At 40.3% G+C, this 25,086-nt stretch overlaps 1 protein-coding gene, 1 long non-coding RNA gene and 1 pseudogene across 13 annotated transcripts in view, besides 10 other annotated features; 2 read left to right on the top strand and 1 right to left on the bottom strand.

The window, feature by feature from the left end:
* UBE2D3 (ubiquitin conjugating enzyme E2 D3) overlaps positions 1–25,086 on the top strand; it is a 74,513-nt gene that overhangs the window by 23,711 nt on the left and 25,716 nt on the right. Inside the window, exons 1-2 of one of the 11 annotated variants that reach the window (NM_181889.2) lie at positions 17,005–17,241; positions 18,549–18,700. The exons of 1 other annotated variant lie outside the window; for it this stretch is intronic. In NM_181889.2, the coding sequence (NP_871618.1) occupies positions 18,677–18,700 (24 nt within the window). In that variant the 5' untranslated portion in view covers positions 17,005–17,241; positions 18,549–18,676. Of the gene's footprint in view, positions 1–17,004; positions 17,594–17,633; positions 17,759–18,326; positions 18,701–19,322; positions 19,448–19,867; positions 19,947–25,086 lie in introns of those variants that run through there. 9 more of the 11 variants (XM_024454202.2, NM_181888.3, NM_003340.6 and 6 more) reach the window with 9 other exon arrangements.
* UBE2D3-AS1 (UBE2D3 antisense RNA 1) lies at positions 1,079–17,130 on the bottom strand. 2 transcript variants are annotated; one of them, NR_131185.1, is made up of 3 exons: positions 15,686–15,871; positions 4,402–4,476; positions 1,079–1,861 (listed from the first exon to the last, which is right to left on the bottom strand). It is a non-coding gene; the product is annotated as a UBE2D3 antisense RNA 1 (long non-coding RNA). The 2 variants fall into 2 exon arrangements; NR_131186.1 differs by lacking the exons at positions 4,402–4,476; positions 15,686–15,871 and adding an exon at positions 17,000–17,130.
* RNU7-151P (RNA, U7 small nuclear 151 pseudogene) lies at positions 8,086–8,138 on the top strand (annotated as a pseudogene).
* Positions 15,734–15,813: an enhancer, noted in NCBI's record as "active region_21761". NCBI's record gives its function as "activates an Ori minimal core promoter by ATAC-STARR-seq in GM12878 lymphoblastoid cells {active_cell/tissue: GM12878}" and the evidence as "EXISTENCE:reporter gene assay evidence [ECO:0000049][PMID:35858748]".
* Positions 15,854–15,913: an enhancer, noted in NCBI's record as "active region_21760". NCBI's record gives its function as "activates an Ori minimal core promoter by ATAC-STARR-seq in GM12878 lymphoblastoid cells {active_cell/tissue: GM12878}" and the evidence as "EXISTENCE:reporter gene assay evidence [ECO:0000049][PMID:35858748]".
* Positions 17,082–17,643: an enhancer, noted in NCBI's record as "NANOG-H3K27ac-H3K4me1 hESC enhancer chr4:103748699-103749260 (GRCh37/hg19 assembly coordinates)". NCBI's record gives its function as "activates a minimal SCP1, AML or CMV promoter by ChIP-STARR-seq in primed H9 embryonic stem cells {active_cell/tissue: H9 hESC(primed)}" and the evidence as "EXISTENCE:reporter gene assay evidence [ECO:0000049][PMID:30033119]".
* Positions 17,082–17,704: a biological region, named in NCBI's record as "NANOG-H3K27ac-H3K4me1 hESC enhancer GRCh37_chr4:103748699-103749260".
* Positions 17,315–17,704: an enhancer, noted in NCBI's record as "active region_21759". NCBI's record gives its function as "activates an Ori minimal core promoter by ATAC-STARR-seq in GM12878 lymphoblastoid cells {active_cell/tissue: GM12878}" and the evidence as "EXISTENCE:reporter gene assay evidence [ECO:0000049][PMID:35858748]".
* Positions 17,644–18,205: an enhancer, noted in NCBI's record as "NANOG-H3K27ac-H3K4me1 hESC enhancer chr4:103748137-103748698 (GRCh37/hg19 assembly coordinates)". NCBI's record gives its function as "activates a minimal SCP1, AML or CMV promoter by ChIP-STARR-seq in primed H9 embryonic stem cells {active_cell/tissue: H9 hESC(primed)}" and the evidence as "EXISTENCE:reporter gene assay evidence [ECO:0000049][PMID:30033119]".
* Positions 17,755–17,884: a silencer, noted in NCBI's record as "silent region_15601". NCBI's record gives its function as "represses an Ori minimal core promoter by ATAC-STARR-seq in GM12878 lymphoblastoid cells {active_cell/tissue: GM12878}" and the evidence as "EXISTENCE:reporter gene assay evidence [ECO:0000049][PMID:35858748]".
* Positions 17,905–17,954: a silencer, noted in NCBI's record as "silent region_15600". NCBI's record gives its function as "represses an Ori minimal core promoter by ATAC-STARR-seq in GM12878 lymphoblastoid cells {active_cell/tissue: GM12878}" and the evidence as "EXISTENCE:reporter gene assay evidence [ECO:0000049][PMID:35858748]".
* Positions 18,788–19,987: an enhancer, noted in NCBI's record as "CDK7 strongly-dependent group 2 enhancer chr4:103746355-103747554 (GRCh37/hg19 assembly coordinates)". NCBI's record gives its function as "activates an origin of replication core promoter dependent on BRD2, BRD4, P300/CBP, MED14 and CDK7 cofactors, with strong dependence on CDK7, by STARR-seq in HCT116 cells {active_cell/tissue: HCT116}" and the evidence as "EXISTENCE:reporter gene assay evidence [ECO:0000049][PMID:35650434]".
* Positions 19,320–19,389: an enhancer, noted in NCBI's record as "active region_21758". NCBI's record gives its function as "activates an Ori minimal core promoter by ATAC-STARR-seq in GM12878 lymphoblastoid cells {active_cell/tissue: GM12878}" and the evidence as "EXISTENCE:reporter gene assay evidence [ECO:0000049][PMID:35858748]".

Below are 25,086 nucleotides of genomic sequence, written 5' to 3'. Positions count from 1 at the left end.
GAGTGCAGTGGCATAATCTCAGCTCACTGCAACCTCTACCTCCCAAATAGCTGGGACTGCAGGCATGCACCATCACTCCCAGCTAGTTTCTGTGTTTTTGGTAGAGATGGGGTTTCGTCATATTGGCCAGGCTGGGTAGAATTCTTTTTTTTTTTTTTTTTTTGAGATGGAGTCTTGCTCTGTCGCCCAGGCTGGAGTGCAGTGGCGCGATCTCGGCTCACTGCAAGCCCCGCCTCCCAGGTTCACGCCATTCTCCTGCCTCAGCCTCCCAAGTAGCTGGGACTACAGGCGCCCACCACCATGCCTAGGTAAATTTTTTTGTATTTTTAGTAGAGACAGGGTTTCACCATGTTATCCAGGATGGTCTCGATCTGCTGACCTCGTGATCCACCCACCTCGGCCTCCCAAAGTGCTGAGATTACAGGCGTGACCCACCGCCCGGCCCAGGCTGGCTAGAATTCTTAAGGCACTGTCTCTTAACTTGTACTAATACTAGAAACCCAAAACTCTACCCTGGACAACTGGTCAGAATAGGGAACCTAAGGAAGTCAAGTGATGGAATCTTGGCCTGGCTGTGGCTAACAGTAGATCCAGAAGGACCCATACTGTGGCTATTTCTCCAGTCCCAGATGTGTAGTGGTAATATGTATCTTTTAACAACAATCTTTATTTTGGTTTCCTGATCAATGGAGGGATTGCTATTATGGTAGAAAGTGCTACACAGCAGCTTAGGTCTGCTTTCTACCACTCCTCATTAAGATAGTAAAGGAAAAGCAGGGCTATATCCCTGAGGAAATTGCAGAGATTGGCCAGGCACAGTGGCTCATGCCTGTAACCCCAGCACTTAGGGGGACCAAGGCAGGAGGATTGCTTGACACCAGGAGTTTGAGACCAGCCTATATAACATGGCAAGACTGCATTTCTACAAAACATAAAAAAGCAAAATAGAAAAACCAAAAGAATTGCAGAGATTAGTGCCACCATGCTGCCATGGTGATTCATACCACATTCCCATTTAAATTTCCTGTGGCCACCAGATGCATCATAGAGAATGACAATATAAAAACCAGATGGCTAGTGAAGAATGACAGTGGACTGCAAACTTTAATTAGGTAGGGATGCCAATTATGGTTGCTGTTCTAGGTGTGGTATCTTCTTCGGAAGAAATTAATACCCATGTTGACATGATACTGATCTGATATTGATCTGGAAATGTCCCCCCACCCCCATTCTAAGGAGAATCAGAAACAGACTACGTTTAAATAGGAGGGATAACAGTAAGTCCTTACTGTCTTGTCTCAGGCTACATCAACTCTCCTGTTCTCTATATGGTATGAAGGGACCTTGATGGTCTTTTGTTATTCCATAGAACATCACACTGATTTATCAGAGTAATGAAATTATATTAAATGAAACTGAAGAGCAGAAGTAGGCAGCATTCTACATGCTTTGGTACGACATATGCATGCTAGAAGGTGCAAGATGAACCTTGAAAAACTTCCAGGACTTGCCACAGGTTTCTAGGGGTCCAATGGCCAGAAATATGTTAGGATATCCATAACATCCATACTTTTTTCTCTTCCATTAACTGGTCAGAGGGAACTCATTATGATGACAGTTTATGTGGGTTGAGGGAGAAGTGCTGAAGGAGTAGAGGCAGGTACTATAGGAGTCTGAGTCACCTGCTCATTCATGGTTCCAGTCCCATATGTAGTGCACTGCTCCTGTGTTCATCCAGTTGTACAGTTTGATGAGTCAAATAACAACAATTCATGATGGGCAGTTTGATTCACACAGTCACTTGATGTCCCATGGTCAGGTGTTACATCTCTTCCAGGTACCAGTAGCAAGTCAAGAGGTACTTTTCAAATAAAAAAAAAAAAATGAAACAAAATCATGGCTAAGGAAGATATGGCCTTACTCCTAAACCTTAAGGGTCTATGTTGTAATTCTTGCACTGAAACTTGCCAGAGGCTTCATATAACATCTCTCCTACATTAACTTCTAATATCATTGGGTCTACAGGATCATAAAGCCTAAGTCTGGGCCCTACCCCACTCAAAACTGGTAATTTTGAGACGGAGTCTTATTCTGTTGCCCACGCTGGAGTGCAGTGGCAAGATCTCGGCTCATTGCAACCTCTGCCTCCCAGGTTCAAGCGATTCTCCTGCCTCAGCCTCCTGAGTAGCTGGGATTACAAGCATGCACCACCACTTCCAGCTAATTTTTGTATTTTTAGTAGAGACGGGGTTTCACCACGTTGGCCAGGCTGGTCTTGAACTCCTGACCTCAGGTGATCCACCCACCTCAGCCTCCCGAAGTGCTGGGATTACAGGCGTGAGCCACCACGCCTGGCCAAAACTGGTAGTCTTACAGTTACAGTTAAGCCTCTAAGAACAGCTTACCCAATTGTACTATGTTTTGTTGTCTCCAAATCTAAAGACGCCTGCCACATATTTTGCCTTTTTCTTTGTTGTGATAGTGGAAAATACAACTTGTCACTAACAAGTGCCTTTAAACAGGGGTGTTTGTTTGGTTTTGGTCTAGCTTTTTTAATTGTTCACAGCAGAAGTATGATCAAAACCACTGAGTTCTTAATTATCAGAAGTGAAACTCGAGGTTTTTTTTTTTTTAAGACAGGCTTTCTGTCACTCAGGCTAGAGTGCACTGGCCTCATCATAGCTCACTGCAACTTTGAACTCCTGGCCTCAATTGATTCTCCTACCTCAGCCTCCTTGAGTAGCTGAGATTACAGGCATGCACCACCATGCCCAGCGTTTGTTTGTTTTTTGTTTTGGTAGAAACAGGTTCCCACTATGTTGCCCAGGCTGGTCTCAAACTCCTGGTCTCAAGTGATTCTCCTGCTTTGGCATCCCAAAGCAATGGGATTACAGGCATGAGGCACCTCACCCAGCAAAGAGGACTCTTTTTTTTTTTTTTTTAGTATCAAAACTTTACTCCCTCAGTCAAAATACACAAGGTAGTTGTGCATATATGTAGTCTATAGATAATGCTTGGTACATAAATATCTAGATCTACGGTAATAACTATTACTTAGGGACTTGAAACTCAAAGAAGGTTAAACTGCTAAAAGCAAAGGCATACTCTTAGAAAAGTAAAAGTATGTTCAAAAGAATATGAGGATCACAGTTTAATAGAGATATCCTGTAAAAAGTAGAGATAAAGTTTTTCTCCTCTATACAATAGGAAACCATTGAAAAGTTCTTTATTGTGCTACATTATAATGAAAGCTGTGTTTAATTTAATGGTGATGTGCAAGATAGTCTGGAGAAGGAAAAGTAGAGGCAGAGAAGCCCACTATGAATTTATAGTAATGGACCAAATATGAGTTGAGAGGCATCATAGTGTAATGAAAAGAATGCTGATATTAGAATCATAAGACTGGTAATAATCACTGATCCTGTCACCTTGGGCAAGTCATTTGACCTGCCTGATTCTGCATCCTTATTTATATGTCACTCACCTTGTAGTGACCTTGTAGGCCCTCAATAAATACTTGAGTGATGAAATGTTAATCACTTCTGCTTAACTCAGAGGGATTACATAATGATGAAAATCTTTTAAAATGTATAAACTGTTATACAATTTAAGGTGTAATATGCATTGAAGGCCTAAATAAGTAGAAATGGACACTCATAAGGAAAGGGAAGGGTGAAAGACAAAGATGACTCCATTATACTGAATCTTAGTCTTGATGACTGGAAAAATATATTCACTTAAGTAGACTGGTTAGGAGAGTAACTGAGTTTTAGAAATCTGGACAAGGTTAGGGAAAAAATAGTGATTTATTTAAATAGTCAAGATGTTCAGCAGTAACTAAAAACTGAACAACTAAGTTACCATTAATATATGTAATAGCTTCCTATTACATATATTAGTTTCATATATTCTTAGGTATTTTTCATATGAGAATGTTCTGTCTCCTACATAAAACTTTATGTTCTTAGAGAAAGAGGTTATCTCCTGGGGAATTTGTATTCCCTCCTCATTTAAAAATAAACCACCTGTATCCACTAAAGTTCCATCTGTTCTGTCCAATTTATTGGTAAACAAGTTACATAGGGCATTGACTGGTTTAAAGATTATTTGTTAGGTCCTTTGGTCCTTCCAGTTTAATACCAAATTGCTATACTTTTTTTTTTTTTTAAAAGAGTCTTGTTCTGTCACCCAGACTGGAGTGCAGTGGCATGATCTCAGCTCACTGCAGCAACCTCTGCCTCCTGGGTTCAAGCGATTCTCCTGCCTCAGCCTCCTGAGTAGCTGGGACTACAGGCGCCTGCCACCGTGCCCAGCTAATTTTTGTAACAAACTGCTATACTTTTAAAAAAATCGATATATAATAGTTTACATATTTATGAGGTATATGGGCTATTTTGTTACCTTGACTGGGGTATCCATCACCTCGAATATTTCTCATTTCTAAGTGCTGGGAACATTTCAAGTCTTCTCTCCTAGCTACTTTAAAATACAAAAAGCATTCACTGTTACTAGCTATAGTTACCCTACTCTGCTATTAAACATTCCTTTGTTCCATATCTCACTGTATGTTTGTACCCATTCACCAACGTCTCTTCATCCCCCCTCCCACCCAGACACCTTTCCCAGCTTCTGGTAACCATCATTCTACTCTCTGCCTCCATGAGATCAACATGTTTAGCTTCCACATGAATGAGAGAACATGTGATATTTGTCATTCTGTGCCTGGCTTATTTCACTTAACACAATAATCTCCAGTACCTTCCATGTTTCTGCAGAGGAAATGATTTCATTCTTTTTTGTGGCCAATAGTATTCATTGTGCATAGGTAACACATTTTCTTTATCCATTCATCTGTTGACGGACACGTAAGTTGATTCTGTTCTTTGCCACTGTGAATAGTGCTGCATTGAACTGATTTCTTTTCCTTTGAATAAATACCCATTAGTGGGATTGACAGATCATATGGCAGTTCTTTTAGTTTTTTGAGAAATACTGTGTTTCCATAGAGGCTGTATTAATTTACAATCCCACTGACAGTATAAAAGAATTTCTTCTGCATCCTTACCAGCATCTGTTATTTTCGTAATAACCACTCTGTCATAGGTGATACCTTACTGTGGTTTTCATTTGCATCTTTCTGATGATTAGTGATATTACACATTTTTCATATACTTATTGGGCATTTGTGTCTTCTTCTGAGAAATGTCTATTCACATCGCTTGACCACTTTTAATGGGGTTATTTTTGTTTTACTTTTAAGTTCCTTGTATACTCTCAACATTAGTCCCTTGTTGGATTAATAGTTTGTAAATATTTTCTTCCATACAACAGGTTATCTCTTCACTCTGCTGTTTCCTTTGCTGAGCTTTTTAGTTTAATATAGTCCAATTTGGCTATTTTTGTCTTTGCTGTTTGTGCTTTTGAGGTCTTAGCCATAAAATCTTTGCCTAGACCCAATGTCCTGAAGTGGTTTACCTGTTTTCTTCTAGTAGTTTTATAGCTTCAGGTCTTACATTTGTGTCTGAACTGTTCTTTATGTACATCACTCTAAACAGTTTTTACTACTAGTACCTTGTAAAGCATAAAGCAAATGCCTTATTCAAAATCATATGAGGCCGGGTGCAGTAGCTCACACTGTAATCATGGCACTTTGGGAAGCCGAGGCGGGCAGGTTGCTTGATCCCAGGAGTTCAAGACAAGCCTGGGCAATATGGTGAAACCCTGTTTCTACAAAAGATAAAAAAAATTAGCTGGGTGTGGCGGCAAGCGGCTGTAGTCCTAGCTCTTTGGTGGTGGTGGCTGAGGTGGGAGGATCACTTGAGCCTGTGAGGTTGAGGCTGTAGTGAGCCATGATGGCGCCATTGCATTCCAGCCTAGGTGACAGAGTGAGACCCTGTCTCAAAAAAGTAAGAAAGAAGAAGAAAGTCATATGATATATTTCTTTCTTTTACATTTTAAATGTATATGCCTTTCATTTAGACCCTAAAGTGTAAGACAGTTTCTATTCCATTTGAAATCCTTAGTCAGTTTCTCCTAGTTTTAAAAAAATTTAATTGTAACAGCCATTCAACCTTAGCTGTAGATTTATCTTTTATACTTAGAATTTCCCTTCCCTCCCTCTCCCTGCAAGTTTATTTGGTTTTCTCTGGACTGCTATAGTATTTTACTGAATCTGTCTGGGAACTTAAATTCCTAACAACATCCAGAAGCTTCAGTAACTCTGGACAAAAAGAGCTTCATCCATTAAAAAGCTGATTTGGGGGTCAGAAGAAACTCTCCTCTTGTATCATCTTTTGCTCCCTCACATGAATAGAATTTTGGTTAGATAGAGCTATTTGCCTTTCCTTTTCCTCTTTTTTTTTTTTTTTTTTTTTTTTGCCCAGCACAGTTTTGTTTAGCATCCTTTCTAGTTCTACTTCAAATGTAATATTTTACGCTTTTACTTGAGACCACAGAACTACTGTATTAGTATCCCCCCTTATCCAGTAGTCAGACTTTACCTTTCTCTACCTTAGAGAATTTGGAAGTAAGGAAAACATTGAACACCAAGAAAACTAGGTGTTACAAGCTTTATTCTGTAACAAAAATATTTCTTTTTGAGAGTTAAGTGTTTCACAAAGGTAAACTCTCCATCTAACTGATGCCTCGATTATTCATTACTGACAGAAGTCAGTCAACTTGAAGGGTCATGTCATCACAAGTGTGCTGGTAAAGTTTAACAACTAGCCTGAAGTAGGGAGCAGCAGGCAGAGATCTGATCTGTGGTGTTTTCAAATTTCCCTGGGGAAAGTACTCCTATGTGGTACTGTGTCATGTTCCAAAGAACATCACTGAACACAGAGCTGGGAAGAGGTGCACACTATCAAACTGTAATACTTCCACCATGCAGATACAATAGACATAACCACAAAAACACGGAACACAGTAAAAGGTATAGCATACCTCAGAGATACTGTGGGTTTAGTTCGCGTGAATTTTTCCATTTCCTAGTGCATATGAAAGTTATGTTTACACTATTTAAATGTGCAATAGCATTATGTCTAAAACAAGTGTACACAGTTTTTTTTGAGACAGAGTCTTGCTCTGTCACCAGGTAGGAGTGCAGCAGCAAGACCATGGCTCACAGCAGCCTCAACCTCCCAGGTTTCAGCAATCCTCCCACCTCAGCCTCCCAAATAGCTGAGACTACAGCTATTTTAGAAAATTTTAGAAAAATATGTATATATTTTTTGAGACAGAGTCTCACTCTGCCACCCAGGCTTGAGTGCAGTGGCGCAATCTCGGCTCACTGCAAGCTCCGCCTCCCGGGTTCACACCATTCTTCTGCCTCAGCCTCTCCCGAGTAGCTGGGACTACAGGTGCCTGCCACCACGCCTGGCTAATTTTTTTGTATTTTTAGTAGAGATGGGTTTTCACCATGTTAGCCAGGATGGTCTCGATCTCCTGACCTCGTGATCCGCCCGCCTTGGCCTCCCAAAGTGCTGGGATTACAGGCGTGAGCCACTGCGCCCAGCCGAAAAATTTTTTGTAGAGACAGGATCACTGTGTTGCCTAAGCTTGTCTCAAACTCCTGGGCCCAAGCGATCCTCCCACCTCAGCCTCCCAAAATGCTGGGATTACAGGCATGAGCCATTGCACCTGGCCTGTGTACATACTTTAATTAAAAAATACTTTATTGCTAAAACATACTAACAAAGTAGGCACATGCTGTTGGAAAAATGGCACCACAAACTTGCACAATATGGGCTGCCACAAACTTACAACTTGTAAAATATACCATATCCATGAAGTTCAATAAAATTAGGTATGTCTATAGTAAAATAACTAGGAAGTGAGTTTTGAGTATTTATTATTGAGCTTTATTTAACAGATTTTAATATAATTGTCAGTTTCTATAATTTTTAATAATGGCTGTGTTTAACAATCAGCCTGCAAAATTCCTACAATTTTTAAATTGACCCTTGTAAGCTGTTACAAGCCAGTTCTATCACACTACTGCCTATACTCTTAATTGTGGAAGTGACTTAGGGACTAGTCAATATGAGTTGAGGTGGTTCTGCTAGCTAATAATTTAAAAAATAGACATAGTGTGACTGCTCTTTTAGAATCTGTCTAGCAGGTTTCACCCAAAAACCCACAAAAAAAATTGACCTAGTACTCAGATTTATATAGTGAAATCTTAAATTTTGCTATCTCGCAAAGTAAAGTTTGTCATGCTTTTTCATATTCCTCCAGGTATATGTTACCTTGTTATGACTTTATTAGTTAAAAAACATTTAAGGCCACTCCCATATGTGTCACCTATAAATAAATACTGACAAAAGGAATACAATGAACAATGGGGAAAAATACAGACAGGCATTTCAGCAAAGAAGATATGTGGATGACAAAGAAGCACATGAAAAAATGCCAATATCATTGGTCACTAGGAAAATGCAAATTAAAATGACAATGAAATACCACTACACACCTATTACAATGGCTAAAATTGAAAAGACTAATCCTAACCAGTCAGGAGAAATTGGAACACTCATACATAGCTTGTGGGACCATAAAGTGGTAAAAAACACTTGGGAAAGTTTGGCAGTTTCTTAAAAAGTTAAACACATATCTACCATATAATCTAGCTATTCCACTCCTAAGCTACTTACTCAAGAGAAATGAAAACATATGTCCATATAAACACTGTAAAGAATGTTCATAGTAGCCCTATTTGTAATAAGACAAAAATTGGAAGAGGCTAGGCGGAGTGCCTCACTCTTATAATCCCAGCACTTTGGGAGGCTGAGCTGAGTGGATCACCTGAGGTCAGGAGTTCGAGACCAGCCTGGCCAACATGGTGAAACCCCGTCTCTACTAAAAAATAAAAAAATTAGCCGGCGTGGTGGCGAGTGCCTATAGTCCCAGCTACTCAGGAGGCTGAGACAGGAGAATCATTTGAACCCAGGAGGCAGAGGTTACAGTAAGCCAAGATTGCGCCACTGCACTCCAGCCTGGGTGACAGAGTGAGACTCAGTCACAAAAAAAAAAAAAAAAAAAAAAATGGAAACAAACCAAATGTCCACTGACTGGTGAATGGATAAATTGTGGCAAATACATACAATGGAATATTATTTAGCAATAAAAGATAATGAACTACTGAGAGACAACAATATAGGTAAGTCTCAAAATAATTATGCTAAGTGAAAAAAGGCAGACAAGAAGTTGTATTGTGATTCAACTTCAATACAGCTCTAGAAAATGCAAACTAATTTACCGTGACAGAAAATAGATCAGAGGTGTCCTGTGGGTTAAGAAGACAGAGGGGTGGGGGAAGAACAAGAGAAAGGATTTATAAAAGAGCATAAGGAAACTTGTGGTGAAGTTCATTATCTTGATTTTGGTGAGCTTCATGGGTATATATATATGTTAGCTTATCAAACTGTTTATTTAGGTATGTATAATTTATTGTATGTCAATTATATTTCAATAAAGCTGTTAAAAACATAACAATGTAGCTGTGGTCTAACTGGTAGAGATGAGGAAGAGGTAACTGCTTTATGCTAGACAACATAGTTCCTTTCTTTCAGGGTTAAACTGAAATAGTTTCTTTGGGCAGCCAAAAAGCACATATCTCTGGCTTACAGAGATGTCAGGCAACTGAAATTCTCATGTTTTTATTACATGTCTGCTGGTAAGCCACTCCTCTGAGTGCCTGTCTTTATATGTTTATCTCTAATATACTTCATATTATAGTCATCCTCCAGTATCCATGAGGGATTGTTTCCAGAACCACTCTCAGATACCAAAATCCAAGGATGCTTAAATCCATGATATAAAATGCCATAATATTTGCATATAACTTATACACATCCTCCTTAGATTGCTTATAATACTTAGTACAATGTAAACACTGTAAATATACTGTATTGTCTAGGGAACAGTAACAAGAAAAAAGTATGTATGTTCAGAAAATATGCAATTAAAAATGTGTATTTTGGATCCGTGGTTGGTTGAATCCATGGATGTGGAACTCACAGATCTGGAGGGCTGATTGTATTTGCTTCACATGTTACTATTACTCATAATGAGGCTTCTTCATTATAATTTAAAATATTTTATATTCATTAGACTGGTGGTTCTGTAGACTGTGATAAGTGAACACTAAGGATACCCACAGAGCCATCAGGGTATCCTGAGAGAGTGGGGATTGGAGATGGATGGAAAAGGGGAAAGAATCTGTGTGGGCAAGTTCAAAAATTAGCTGGGCCTAGTGGCATATGCCTGTAGTCCCAGCTACTCAGGAGGCTGAGGTGGGAGGACTCCTTGAGCCCTGGAGGCAGAGGCTTCAGTGAGCCAAGATGGTGCCACTGCACTCCAACTTGGGTAACAGAGAGACCCTGTCTCAAAACAAACAAAAGACAAAAAAAAAAAAAGTTGAATCTTTTTTTTTTTTCCAGACAGGGTCTCACTCTGTCATCCAGGCTGGAGGGCAGTGGCCTGATCACAGCTCACTGCAGCCTTGACCTCCTGGGCCCAAGTAATCCTCCCACCTCAGCCTCCCTAGTATGTGGGACTACTGGTGCATACCACCACGCCATGCTGATTTTTTATTTTCTGTACAGACAGGGTTTTGCCATGTTGCCCAAGATGGTCTCTAACTCCTGGGTTTAAGCAATCCACCCTGCCTTGACCTCCCAAAGTGCTGGGATTACAGCTATGTACCACCACACCCGGCCCTCAATCTTGTGACTTTTTCTATTGGGTCTAATTTGTTAGGCAGGGATTGGGGGCTGAAGTGGTGGTAGGAGGGAAACCAGGATCAAATGAGAGTTTTTTAATCCTTTACCCATGGTTTCCCTGCTAGCTGCCTGCTTATAATCATATATAAACACTAAAGTCATACTTGCAGAAATAAAAACCCTTATGAAAACTTAACAGAGTGTGTATCTGTTTTAGGAACAAAAGTATAAGAAAAGTTGAATCTTGTGAAACTGCTCTTCTCTGTAGAAAAGGGGGAAAAAGAAAGCTTACTGGTTTCTGTTAGGAAGCAATTGATAATGGCAGTGGAGAGGAATGTAAATTAATGGATCTGGCACTAAAAAAGAAAAGTATCCCAGCACTAACCCAAAACATACAGTGACATTCAAGAAGTCTGAATGTACAGATTTCTTAACCACCATTCTCCAACTTTTCAAAGCTTTCAACCAACCACTCAACATGATTTACCCTCAGTCAATTCTTCCTATTCGGCTTCAGTACTTGCCCTGAGCCACGGGAATTCTGGCGGGCAGAGGGGTAGGTCGGTCCTCCTGTTATCAATTTGGAATTCTATGGAGCATTTTCTCATAGGTGTAATATATACAGGGAGGGTGGGTTTTAAAGCCTTTTGTGGATTGATCTGCAGGCACAACTACTTTTCTATAAGAAATTATGTCCTGAGATCCAGAATGAGAATGAATCTTAAAATGCTTCTAACATCTTTAAAGCCCTTTTACTTCCATTTCAGAATCAGGTTTATTAATTTATCTGTTCTACCTGCCTAGCATTTCTTGACTCAAAAGTCACAAGGTCAAACTCAACAAATTCCACTTTAGGTATGTGACAAAAGGATTGTTATAATCTCTATCTACATCAAACTAAATTCTTTGAATTCTCTACATGAACTTTTTTCCATTTTGTGATTTTAGTAATCTATAATTACTGTAAGCACAGTCTCAGTCACCTTGATACCCACTTATACTAAGTACTGCCATGTGATTTTAGAACCTCTGTTTTATTTAGGTTTATGATCTTGTTGGCAACACATAATAGTATTTTGTCTGAGGCAGATGGAACAGAAATAGATAATGAATTCTTTTTCCTGGCCACTTGAAAGCCAAATGATATCAGTCAAAGAATGAACAAAAGTCTCCCAAAGGTTCTAGTAAAGTGGTAAGAGAACTGAGACATGGATCACAGCAGTTAGTACAGACATGGCCAAATTTAAAAGAAATGAAATTGTGGCAGTTAGTCCTACATTTGAGTTTCAAGAGGAGATTTGATTTGCAAAAAAAAAAAACATGTAGCACATGTTTCCAATGTTATGTAAACTTTAGTTTCGTAGTTCTTTAAGAGCTAAAAACATAGGAAGTTCATACTATTGTTTCAAGTTATTTTATTAGAATATCATATTTTGTTTTTCTATAAACATTTTTTTTTTTTTTTGAGAGACAGGGTCTCACTCTGTCACCTAGGCTAGAGTGCACTGCTGCAACATGGCTCACTGCAACCTTGACCTTCTGGGCTCAAGGGATCCTCCCACCTCAGCTTCCAGAGCAGCTGGGACCACAGGCACATGCCACTATGCCTAATTTTTTTGTAGAGACACAGTTTCATCATGTTGCACAGGCTGATCTCAAACTCTTGGACTCAAGCAATCCTCCTGCTTTGGCCTCCCAAAGTGCTGGAATTACAGGCATAAGCCACTGTGCCTGGCTTGATTTTATTGTAACATTCTAATAAAGGTAACTGGAGGGAGAATTCCCCCCGCCCCCAAATATTTTTTAGGCAAGCTTGACCCAGTAAATAAACTAAGTTTACTTCCTGTACTCTCTCTTATTAGTGCAACTATTTCAGATCTTTCTCACATTTCTTCAGGATTATTTCATTAACATCCTGTTTTTCTTGCCTCTAGTCTCCATCCCAATACATACTTTGGGCACATGCTTCAACATTGCTATCACAGTTACCTTTTTGCCATCAAATCTGATCAGGCCATTTTTGTTAAAAATTCAATTTCTCCATTCTATCCCATCCCCTTCAAAATAAAAGGCCCTCAAGATCTCCAGTCATGTCTTTCAAATCTATCTTGTCTCCTCATCTTTTCTGTCTTCTCATTCTCTCCTTGCCGCTCCCCCCGCCACCTCAACCTCGCAATACTGCAGCCAAAGTTTTTCTAGTTTTAAAAACTTATCAAGTCATCTCTGAGACTTTGCATGCTGTTTCCTCTTCCTAGGAGCCTCCCTCACAATTTTTTTCCAACTTTGCCTTGCTCCCTTTTTTTCATTTGTTTTAATACAACTCTCTTCCTCAGAGAAACTTTCCCTGACCACCGCCAGCTGAGTTCAGTACATTAATAGTGCTCTGTGCACACATTTATGTCACTGAACCCACTCTATGATGTTGTCTGATGCTTACTGGTCTCCTCAAGAGACTTTCTTATAGATGACATCTGTGTCTTTTATGTATCTTCAGTGTCTAGCACCTAATAGTAATTCGATGTTTTTTAAATAAATAGAAAACTAGGAGTGACTCTATCAACAGATCTCTACTACATTAACATTCTTTGTCCTAAACCTGAAAGACTCCCACTTGCCTATTCAGACCTAAGTATCACTGATTGACAAACCGAATGAAAGTCTCTTTATCGTGCCTCACCCTACACCAAAAGCAGTATTACAAATATATATTTTTTTAACCTGTGTTTGTAAGTAAACCAGCTTTTTGGAAGACAGAATGCACTATTGTGGTCATTTCACATAAACAGAATCAAACAGTATGTGGCCTTTTGTGTCTGGCTCTTTCACTTGACAGAATGTTTTAAGGCTTCAAGATACATTTTGTAACATGTATTAGTACTTTGTTCCTTATAATAATAATAATATTCCATTATACACATATATCACATCTTCTTTATCCATTCATCAGCTGATGGACATTTGAGTTGTTTCTACTAAAAAGTAGAATAGCCCTACTCTGAACATTTGTGTATATATATGTTTTTGTGTGGAAAAATGCTCTATTTTTATCTCAAAGATTTGTGCATGCTTCATTACATGCCAAAAGCCTTATTAAGGCCAAAATGACATCTTAGCATGAAATAAAGTACACTTTCTTAAACCATATTAATTTGACTTAATGAGATTCTGAATTGTTAAGTATAGAAATCAATTTGATTTTTGTGCAAACAATGTAAAATAACATTTGGTTGACCTGGGCTCCAAATTACTTGGTCCAGGCAGAATATGTAAATGAGCATTCTGAATATAAAATCTGGACCGTAGCATTTACAATTTAATTAAACTAATAAAATGGTATACACTGTACTAGAGCCAGTGTCTTTGGCAAGTTATAATATTCTGTAACAAAATTAAAGATACATGAAAACATAGATACAATATTAAGTACATATATATAAAATCTGTTAATTATGTTTATTCATCAATACATTCTAATTAACCCCTTACTCTCAAGTTATTATAATAACGTGGCCTCACTGAAAAATTCATGTAATAAGACCCTGGCACACCACCATTATTCAGATTGGTAGATTAATTGCCCATTTACTAGTAATTTTCTCTGAGACAGGGTCTTGCTCCATCACAGGCTTGAGTATAGTGGCACAATCACAGCTCACTGCAGCCTCAACCTCCCAGGCTGAGGCAATCCTCCCACCTCAGCCTCCCAAGTAGCTGGGACCATAGGCGTGTACCACCATGCTCAGCTAATTGTTTTATTATTTTTGTAGAGACTGGGTCACCCTATGTTATCCAGGCTGGTCTCAAACTCCTGGGCTCAAGTGATCGTTCCACCTTGGCCTCACAAAGTGCTGGGATTACAGGCGTAAGCCACCAGCCCAGCTTTAATTTTCTTGATCCTTTCTATTTTCTCATGTTTTATGTCAATTCATGCAAGATAATCTGATCTACTATATTTACAAAGTTTTTAGGACTTCAAAATAGTATTTATTAAGGAAGGGATTATTTTTAGTTAATTAAATTTTCAACATTTTTGTACCTTTATTAATTTCTAAATGTAAATTTTTCTTTCAGTATTTACAGCCATAATTTTTTTCTTGTTAGCATTATTTCCGACTGCAATATAAAAAACATGATTATTTTCCTTTCTTGTTTCAAATGAGGACATCTCTACCATTGTAATTCAAGTAAGTTAAATGAATGAAAATGTTTTAACTTTATTTGCAACTGTAAAGTGGGCTCTCTGTAACAACAGGTACATGAATAATGTTTTAAAATTTAACTTAATCTTAGCCTGCTTTATCCTAAGGCATCAAAATGCTTCTAGGCTATGTTTCTTTTGATTTTAACCATGGCAAAATATAAGCAGAAATGTAAGTCCACTTATGCAAATACAAACTTGTAAACAGAAAGCCCAATCAACCAATGAATTTACTTCACTGCCTAACAATAATGAGTTTGTGATTACACAATCACTTGCCTTTATAAGCATGGATAATCTAGAACTCCATATATATTAGTTTTGTTTTTTGTTCTTGTTTTTTTTTGAGACAGGGTCTCACTCTGTCGCAGTGATCTTGGCCCACCGCAACCTCCGCCTTCCAGGCTCAAGCGATTCTCCGGCCTCAGCCTCCCAAGCAGCTGGGATTACAGGCGCCCGCCACTACGCCCAGCTAATTTTTTGTATTTTTAGTAGAGATGGGGTTTCACTGTTTTGGCCAGGCTGGTCTCGAACTCCTGATCTCATATGATCCACCCGTCTCAGCCTCCCAAAGTGCTGGGATTACAGGCGTGGCCACTATTACTACTATACATTTGTTTCACACTATGGCCAGTTAATGTCTGACTGGTTACTTTAATAACTGACATTTATACAGCACTGTAGAGTCTCCAGTGTCCTTTCACATATATTATGACACTTTAACCACACAATCACCCTGTGAGAAAGGACAGTCATTATTACTTACTTTAGCGGTGAAGAAACGGGGTTAGAAGATAACTAACCAGGCCAATATCAAGCAAATGGGAAGCAATAACTAATCTGGGTTCCTCCCTCCATCTTCATGCCTAGTCCTGTGCTTTTAGTATATCTGGCTAGCTATGAGAGAGAACACAGATTATTCAGGGAGGAGGGAGGGGCCAGAGGTGTTACTGAGGTGAGCCTCATGAGCAGTTAGGCCATGAGGTAAGCACTTCAGTGCTTTGCTACTCACGGGGTGGTTCAGACGAGAAAAATCTGTATCACCTGGGAGCTAGTTAGAAATGTAGGCTCTCAGGCTCCACCACTGCCCTACCAAATCAAAGTCGCATTTTCAACAAAACCCCAGGTGGTTCCTATGGACACTAGTTTGAGAAGCACTGCTTCACTAGTGACACTACATGGTCACTTGAACAGTATACATTAGACTACTTATATTCATCATTGTTGACGTGTTAAGTTTTTATTAGGTAAAACTTTCTGCAACAGTTTTCAAATTAAGTGTATTTTTAAAACAAGTTTATTTTTCCAAGTAATTGAAGATCTCCACTTCGGTAACTGGGGTCATTAAGGAATGTTAAAAAACCTTAAGCTGGTCAGTGCTTACCCACTTTTAAATTCCTCATAAAAATTAAGGTCTTTCTTTTGCCTGAAGGATACACTAGAGAGCATAACTGCCGTCTCCATACTTTAAACCCTTGACTAAAACAGGCCAATCCTACTGAGGTAAATCCCACCTCCCAACTTGGATATTTCAGGAAGTATTGTATTGTTTTTCTGACTCTAAACTCTACCTAATTAACTAATTAGTCTCAACACTTTCTGGCTCAAGAACTGAAACACAGCAACAGAAGCTAAAGTTTGAGAATTTAAGCTTGTTCCCACATCTACACCTTGGCGGACGGCAGCGACTGATTACGGAGACCAGTGAAAACCCTGCCCCTAACTCTCTCTGTCCTAGCCCCATCCACTCAATTGAGCTTGACTCAGCCTGCTCCCTGCTGTTCTCAGTATTGCTCCCTTAGGGTCAGACGTGCACTAGACTTCAGCACGTGGGAGCGCTGATGAGCGGCCAACCTGGGTCTATTTAAAACTACTATTCCCATCTCGAGGGGCGCCTCCTCCCACAGCATAACCAGCCCAGGAGGGCAGGCGAGTAAATACTGCTCACCTGCTCCACCGGAAACCTCAAAATCCCGGCCCGAGCTAGACTAAAGGTATCTGGTAATTAATCCTTGGCACCTCCCACCACACGCTCCTGATTGGGCGCGTGAGACAAGGCTGTGTCTGCGCGCGCTCTTACCAGTCTGGGGAATTCCATTTCCTCTACCAACCACCGGCATAAGCATTCAGGGGCGTTGCTTTCCTGGCAGTGGCCCGCCCCAGTTCGAGCCGGTGCCTTACTGCGTCTCGCGAGAACTTATGCATTTTGGAGGCGGAACCCCGTCAGGAAAAGCGCACAAAACTGCTCTTAAGTCATTGCAGAGCTACCGCTTCGGTTAGCCAGCCACGAAGTTCTCGCGAGAGTCGTCTCCTCGATACCAAGTGAGGAAACTGGGGGACGCTGTGGGGAGGGGCGTGGGGCTGGATCGCGCAGCGGCTGCTTCCTTTACCTTCCTCCCATGGTCTCCTTCCGGTTCTCGATGCTTCTCTGAGCCTAAGGGTTTCCGCCACTCGTTCACCCTCCCCCCAGCTCATGATCCTCCTCCCTCCCCCGCCCTCCTGGTCCAATCTCCGATCTGTTTAGTAAGAAGGTGCTGTTCCGAGAAGAAGGAAAAGGGCTTGACACGTATTCACTCGGCCCCGGACGTGGGAAGCAAGCCGTCTGGCTTCGGCCTCACATCGGTCTTGTGCTCGGGACGGCGGCGTTGGCGGACTGATCCGCGGCGGTGAAGAGGCAGGAGGAGGGGGAGGGGCGGAGCGTGGCAGCTGGCAGTAGTTCCGTCAGAGCGGACATCTTGTGGCTGTGTCGTGCGCGTGAGCCCCGTAGGGCCGGGGAGGCACCAGCTGCCGCGCGGGGAGGAGGCCGAGGCCGCAGCTTGAGGGAGGCCCCGGCCCCTCTGTACGCGTGGGTGTGGACGGCTAGGGCAGGGAAGGGAGGCCGGCCCAGTGGCCGGCCGGGTAAGAGGGGCAGTGCGGGACCTGGGCGGCTTGAGCGGCCAGCCTATTGGGTGCGGTGGGTTAGGGTGGGAAGGTTGGGGAAGCCGCGGCCTCTCCTGCTGGAGGAGGAGGGGGAATGGGCGCGTCCTCGCGCCTAAGCCGGAGCCTCAGGGACAGCGCGGGCGCGTGGTGGAGGTGGCTGGGCGGGCGCGCGCGGGAGCGCGCTGGAAGGCGGAGTGAGTGTACGGTGGCGTCAGGGGTGACACAGAATAGCTCGCTGCGAGGATAGCAATACACATCAAGTCTCCCTTCCTTTATTTCCTTCCTTTTCCCGGCCGCACCTTTGGACAGAAACCGAAAGCAGCCCGGCGTCCGTCCGGAGTCTTATGCTTCCCCCTCCCCCCTTGCCTTTCTTTGCCCTAGTGACGCCGGTATAGCGCCGACTAGGCCCCGGCTCCTCCTCTGCTGGGCTCCGGACCCTGCCCCGCACCCACCCCTTTCTCCTACGCCTCTTCCTCTCCCACCCGGGTCTCTTCCTTTCTAGAGGCCGGGAAGTTAAACTTGTAGCCACCACCTCCGCTCTTCCCGTCACCCTCGCCCCCACTTCGGGCCGAAAGCACGGTACAGAGGCTGTTGGTGGCTTTGCCACGCCACCCCACCCACCCCGGATCGCGGCTGTCTTAAGGGACCTGGATTCATCAGGGGCTCTTCGGGGCCTGTGCGAGTGCTGATCTGCTCCGTTTTTGCAAAAGGCGCCTGTGTCTGGCAGAGCTGGTGTGAGACGAGACAATCCTGCCCCGCCGCCGGGATAATCAAGAGTTTTGGCCGGACCTTTGAGCATACACCGAGAGAGTGAGGAGCCAGACGACAAGCACACACTATGGCGCTGAAACGGATTAATAAGGTAACCCGCGGGGACAAGGGCATGGGGTGGTAGGAGAAAAGGAAGGCTCGGGCCAAGAGGAAAGCGTGGGGGTGGGAAGGAAGCATAATTCTGAAAATACCTCTTGGATCACTTCTTCCATGGGGGGATGGAGAACGCAGATATACTTCTTGAAGAAATGAAGTTTAAAGCTAGGAAACGGAGAACACTTGTGGCAAGTGAGGTGTTATCCTGAGTGCTTCAGTGGAATCGGTGCAAATTAGGGGTGGAGGAGAGTGACTTAAGGCGCCTTTATTATTTTATTTTTTTGCTGCTTAAGAAGGAGTTTTTTTGGGGGTCCGAATTGCGGAGAGACGCTCCAGCAGATGTCATGGCGCTTCCTATTCTTGGTGCTTGAAAACTTAGTTTAGTTGTGAGATCAAGGTTATCTAGGCCTTCTAGGGGTAAGAAAGAAAACTCGGAGGAGAGAAAAAAAATCTGGCGAGTCCCGAACTTGACTGAGGGTCGGGTAGAAGAAGTCTTGCGTATTGAAGGTCAGTCAGTGAGTCTAGTAGAAACTCTTAGTCGACTCTGGGCAGGTTACACCGAATAAGTGGGTTTGGGAGGAGATGGAATGACACAGTGTTGCCACTTCCTGTATTTTGTAGTTGCAGCTTTTCACCCGAAGCTATTTATCCGAGGGACACCGGGAACTGATGTAAAAGGCATTCTGGAAGCTCCCTTTTCCTTTTGGCTGGAGAGTGGGGGTGGATAAGGGGTGCGATGGCAGTAAGGGAAAGCTAATGTACCTATTTTTGCCTCATTCTATTTAATAACACCCTTGTTTCGTTACTTGAAATGTGGTTTGATAGTATATTATCGATTTAAGTTGAAAAAAAACTAGGATTTTTCGGAGCTCTGGGAGTGAGCGGAACCTCCACCTCCGGTGGTTTAGTCTCATTTTCTTGCTCTAACTTCTATCCCGCATTTTAAGATGGCGGCTGCTTTAACTGGTTCAGGCTCTTTCCGGCATCTCCTTTCGTAATAATGTGAATTAATATGATTTGTTAAATGTTAACTTTTATATCGCGTTGTGCACTGCTCTAAGATCCTCTGCTCAAAACTTACCTAAATTCAAACTCTTAAACTGTATTTCCCTTTTTTGTGACTTGTATTTGTGTGATGTGTTTGGTTGTTGCACAATCGAAGAGGGTGGAGTGTTTACAGCTAACTTGAAAAAAATGTCATGGAATAAATTCAGCCTTACTAGAAAAATTGTGGAGTGTCGGTGAGTGTTAGAAACTTTGGTTTTAATAGATTACTTTTTTAAAAAGAGTTCTGAGAGGAATGGCAAGAATTTGCCTTTACTAAAATAGACCTGATACTACATTTGCCTGTATTTAATTATGACTGGAGTTTATTTGGCAAGATTGGTGTTTCATGAAAGAGGAAGGTTTAAATCTTCACTCTTAGTATGTATTGATATGAAATCGTGAATTTTGTTTTGGGCCTTCATAACATCGTCATTTTGGGTTATGCGAAATACAAATTTAAATCTTTGTGAAATGAAAGAAAAGAGGAAGAAACGCTTTTTAGGAGTTAAGGATTAAAGTAAAAATTATTTTGAAATAATTACCTCTTTTTGTGACCACTTTAAAGGCCAGGAACATATTGGAGAAGCCTAGTTGTATGTTACAGTGTGGTTTACACAAAGAGCATAACATTCAGTACAAATAAAAATCTTTTCTGTTGGAATTAGTTCAGGCCACTAAAATGTGGAATAGTACCAGATCCATAGCTTTTTGTGCATGTGGAACAGAACACGTTAAAGGAAGGCCTCTGATTTTTTTTCTCTTACAGGTCATACCCAGCTGCTGTGACACCACTTAAATGATTTAAAAGCTTTAGAGAGACAATATAACAGTGGTTAAGAGTGTAAACATTGGAGCAGAAATGCTCCAGTTAGAATTCTAGCTCTGGGCAAGTTTATGTGCCTCTATAAGAAGGGTATCTGTTGTAATATGAACAATAAATGACTGTGTGCCTAATATGTACCAGGCACTGTTTTAGACATTGGGGTGGCAGCAGTGAACAAAACAAATTTTAAGTTCCTAGATTTGTTTTGACGATTAAATGGATTAATGTGCAAATTTGAACAGGCTCTTGGCACATGACACTCCTAGTTATTACTGCTATTTTAATATCACAATTTATAATTTTTAAAAATCGTTTTTGTTTAAGAACTTTGATTTCTAGTTTAGTACTCTTAGTTAACCAGGTTGTCTCCTTTTGTAAATATTTTGAAGATTTATGTAATATAGACACAACATAAAAACTTGGCATATTGGAAAAACCAGTGTTTATGTGAACATTATTGATTCAACTTACAGAAACTTTGACGTGTGCATGTGGTTTGGTTTTTCAGCTGTTAATGTTAAAATCACATGAGGCAACTTTCAAACATTCCACATCCAACAATTTTAGTGAGTGGACAGCTCTGAACTGGAATGCTCTTCGGTTTAGGCACCTCTTCTAGAAATATGGGGTCAAGTAGCCATTGATGTCAGTATGGTATGCTTGTGTTACGTACCTATTTCGAATTTATTCTTGTCTGAAGGTCCCACATTTCAAGTATTATGATATATCTGTATTCCTCGTTAATATTTTACTGAAATGATTATTGGAATAGTTTTAACCTTTAGTCCATTTGATCGAGCTTTTGAATTTATACTTTGCTTCAGCTGTGTTCTTGGAGTAAGTTTTTTGACTGTTAGACCAATCAACTTTTTTCCTGTATTCTTTATTTGAACGAGCTGTAATATGGTCTTAAATAGGGCTATTAAACAACAGGAGTTAAAAGTGGCACTCCAAGTTGATTGGTATTGAGAGCTGTAGACAATTTTACCACTCCCATTAAACAGGGACTACAATATATGTGTTTTAGGGACGTTTGAAGATAAATATGTGAACCAAGCCTAAAAGAATAGCTCATGTTTTCATTGTATACACCCTGTTAAGTTTTCGTAAGGGTTTTTATTTCTGGAAGTATGACTTTAGTGTTTATATATGATTATAAGCAAGCGGCTAGCAGGGAAACCATGGGTAAAGGGTTAAAAAACTCTCATTTGATCTTCGTTTCCCTCCTACCACCACTTCCACTGAGATAATTTCAAGATTATCTCCATCTCGAAATTGAAAAACTTAGGCATAGAGGTTAAGAAGATGACCCAGGTTCATGTTGTGACAGTTGGGATTAGAACCTAGGCAGCCTGGTCCAGAGTATGTGCTCTTAACAACTACAGTTTGATATCATCCTTTAGTTTTTTTTTGTCATTCAGAACGGTTTACTTTTGCATATAGTATTATCTATTACAGTAGTTAAGACAATGCAGTCTCATCTAAACCCTAACTCATTTAATCCTCAAGACAACCATGTGGGATAGATGTGAGAATTTTATAGATGAAGTAACAGGCTCAGAGAAATAGTCGTCTAGTCACACAACTAGTAAGTGACTGGGATTCAAATCAGATAGGCACCAAAAGCTCAAGCTCTTTTTTGAACCATTTCAATTCCTTTTTTTGTTGTTGTTGGAGACGGAGTCTCACTGTGTTACCCAGGCTGGAGTGCAGTGGCGCGATCTCAGCTCACTGCAAGCTCTGCCTTCTGGGTTCACGCCATTCTCCTGCCTCAGCCTCCTGAGTAGCTGGGACTACAGGCGCCCACCACCACCCCCGGCTAATTTTTTTGTTTTTTTAGTAGAGGCAGGGTTTCACCGTGTTAACCAGGATGGTCTTGATCTCCTGACCTCGTGATCCACCCGCCTCAGCCTCCCAAAGTGCTGGGATTACAGGCGTGAGCCACCACGTGGCCTGGCCCTTCAATTCCTGTTTTATAATGTATGTGATTTTAGTTTGTTACCTGAAATAAGCTGCTTTGCTCTCCCACTTATACATCTAAGTAATTGGGAGTTAGCTTTACTCTTAGGTTATAGCTAATTTGTGAGTTAAGATTTTGGCTAATAATATTTTGAAAGTAGAAGTGGATTTAATTCTTTTGGGGTAGTCTCTTCAAGCACTGAAAACTAACATGTGCCAGTTAACTGCTTAGGATGTCTTAGAGTGAACAAAATATATTTATTGTCCCCAACTAGTATATAGGCTGGGTAAACTGTCTTGCATGTGTTTCATATATGGTCCTCAAAGCTTGTTGATAGCCAGCTCACTTTCTGTGTAGGATAGTTGTGACTGAAGGATGCTGATAATAATAGGACCTCAGTATTTGTTTAATTTGAAAAAGGATGCATTACTGACACTGCATACTTTTCTTTCATCATGCTCATCTGCAGTGTTGATTCTAGTTTTTGTTATTTATACAAATAAAAAGTTGAATGCTCCATCACTGGGATGAACTACTGTGTCACTAGATTGCTCTGTCAAACTTTGCCCCTGAGTTTAGGTGACCCTTTTTATCCAAGACAGGCAATCTTTGAGGATTCTCCACAGCATGTTGCTATAATCTATCTATTAAAAAAGAAACTAGGTTCGTAACACTGAGATAAAAAAATGTTTCAGATTAAAATCTCAAACCTAGGTTGGTTTTTGCATTCTTTTTTTAAATAGCAGTTTTCTTGTATCTGTTAGCGTATAGAAGAGCTTACTGAATATTATATATTGTTGGGTGTGACATGAATTACATTTATATTCCAGAACATTTGGAGTTTTTAAAAAAATTTTGTGGGTACATAGTTGGTGTATATATTTATGGGTTGCATGAAATATTTTGATACAGGTATGCAATGCATAATCACATCAGGGTAAATGGGGTATATACCTCGAGCATTTATCCTTTGTGTTACAATCCAGTTATACTTGTTTACTTATTTTTAAATGTCAGATTGTTTAGAATTTAAAAAAAAAAATACAGCTGCATGGGGGTCTTAGACTTACTAAATCATTTTCCCTGGAAACACATAATTTTGAAAATTTTCTAGGTGATTCTGAAGCTCCTCTCTGATTAAGAACCACAGATACAAGGGAGTAAAGGTCCTAATCTGCATTAGACGTAGTATTCTAGTCCCAGGGAATAAATGAGGAAGATGGTCCTTATCTATGGTAATCTCTGCGTTCAGTGGTGAAAATAAGCATGTAAACACATGAATAGTTGTTTGTCACTTTGTAATTTACCTTTCAAGAATATTAGATCTAGTAGGGGAGGTATTTAAAATAAATTTTCTATACTGTATTTTTTGTACTAGTATTATTACAATGTGATTTGTCTTTTATTATAATGACTTAATTCCCCTTGCCAAAACCAGTATTTTGAAATTAATGAAATAAAACTCTCCATTCTTGGAAATGTTGTGGTCTTGAGCTTGCTACCATAGCAGTGTTATTTCATAATTAAAAATGAATGCATTCACCAAATATCTTACTGCCCAGTTTCTCTTATTAGATAAGATTTATTCAGAATTGTATCCTCAACCTTGTTATGTAGGGAAGGGAAAAGTTTAGGGAAGTATTTTTATACTTTGTTGAAACATCTGATTTTTATCTCCTAATGATACTTTCAACATAATCTATTGTAAAAGAGACCTTCAACTTTTCATAGCTGAATTTGTCGTATTTAAATGTTTGTCAATTGTGAATCATGATTTCTTGTACCTTTTTCAGTATGAAATACTTACATTAATCCTAACCTTGCTGTAATTTCATGGCTAATGTGTAATTGAATGTTTTCTACTACTGGGCAGCTGTTTGGCTGTTAATCTTTGTTTTTTTTGTTTGTTTGTTTGTTTTGTTTGTTTTAATGTCCATAAAACACCCTTCTTGCTTTCATGGAGCAGAGCTTCAAATCTAAATTTGGGTTTCTTTGCCCATTTTTAAATAATGCTTACAAAAGAATGGCTTTGAATAATGTTAAGTGACTTTACCTTCAGTGGTGATCGAAAGAAAATTAGTAATATTCAATCCATTCTTAGTACCTTGTGTAATGAACACGCATGCTTGTTTCACCTATAATTACGACTAAACAGGAAGTTAATACCTTGTCAGTGATGCAGTGAGATACTGTGCAGTGCCTACTGTTAAACCTTAAGATAAAAAAGGATTTCTCAGAAGAAATTTCAAATTAAAATGTGTTTTAAAGGGACTATTTGGAGTTTTGTGAAATTGTTCATATCTTTTTGCCAAGCATCCTTCTCTTGAAATAACCATGTTTCTGAAGTTTGTTGTTCCCTGCCTTGATATTCGCATCTACATATTTTATACAGACATTTCATAACATTAAAGTTAATAAAACTTTATAGTAAACCAGATCTTTATATGAACAGTTACAGTAGTTACTGTCTGCCTGATGGACAGCTAATTGCACTGCACTTCGACCTCTATTGTTGGTTCGCACCTTTGTATTTTTCTAGGTTGGTTGTAAA

Source organism: Homo sapiens, chromosome 4 (genome assembly GCF_000001405.40).
Source record: "Homo sapiens chromosome 4, GRCh38.p14 Primary Assembly".
NCBI lineage: Eukaryota > Metazoa > Chordata > Mammalia > Primates > Hominidae > Homo > Homo sapiens.
Note: the sequence above shows the minus strand (reverse complement) of the source record. Positions and strands in the feature narration are given on the sequence as shown.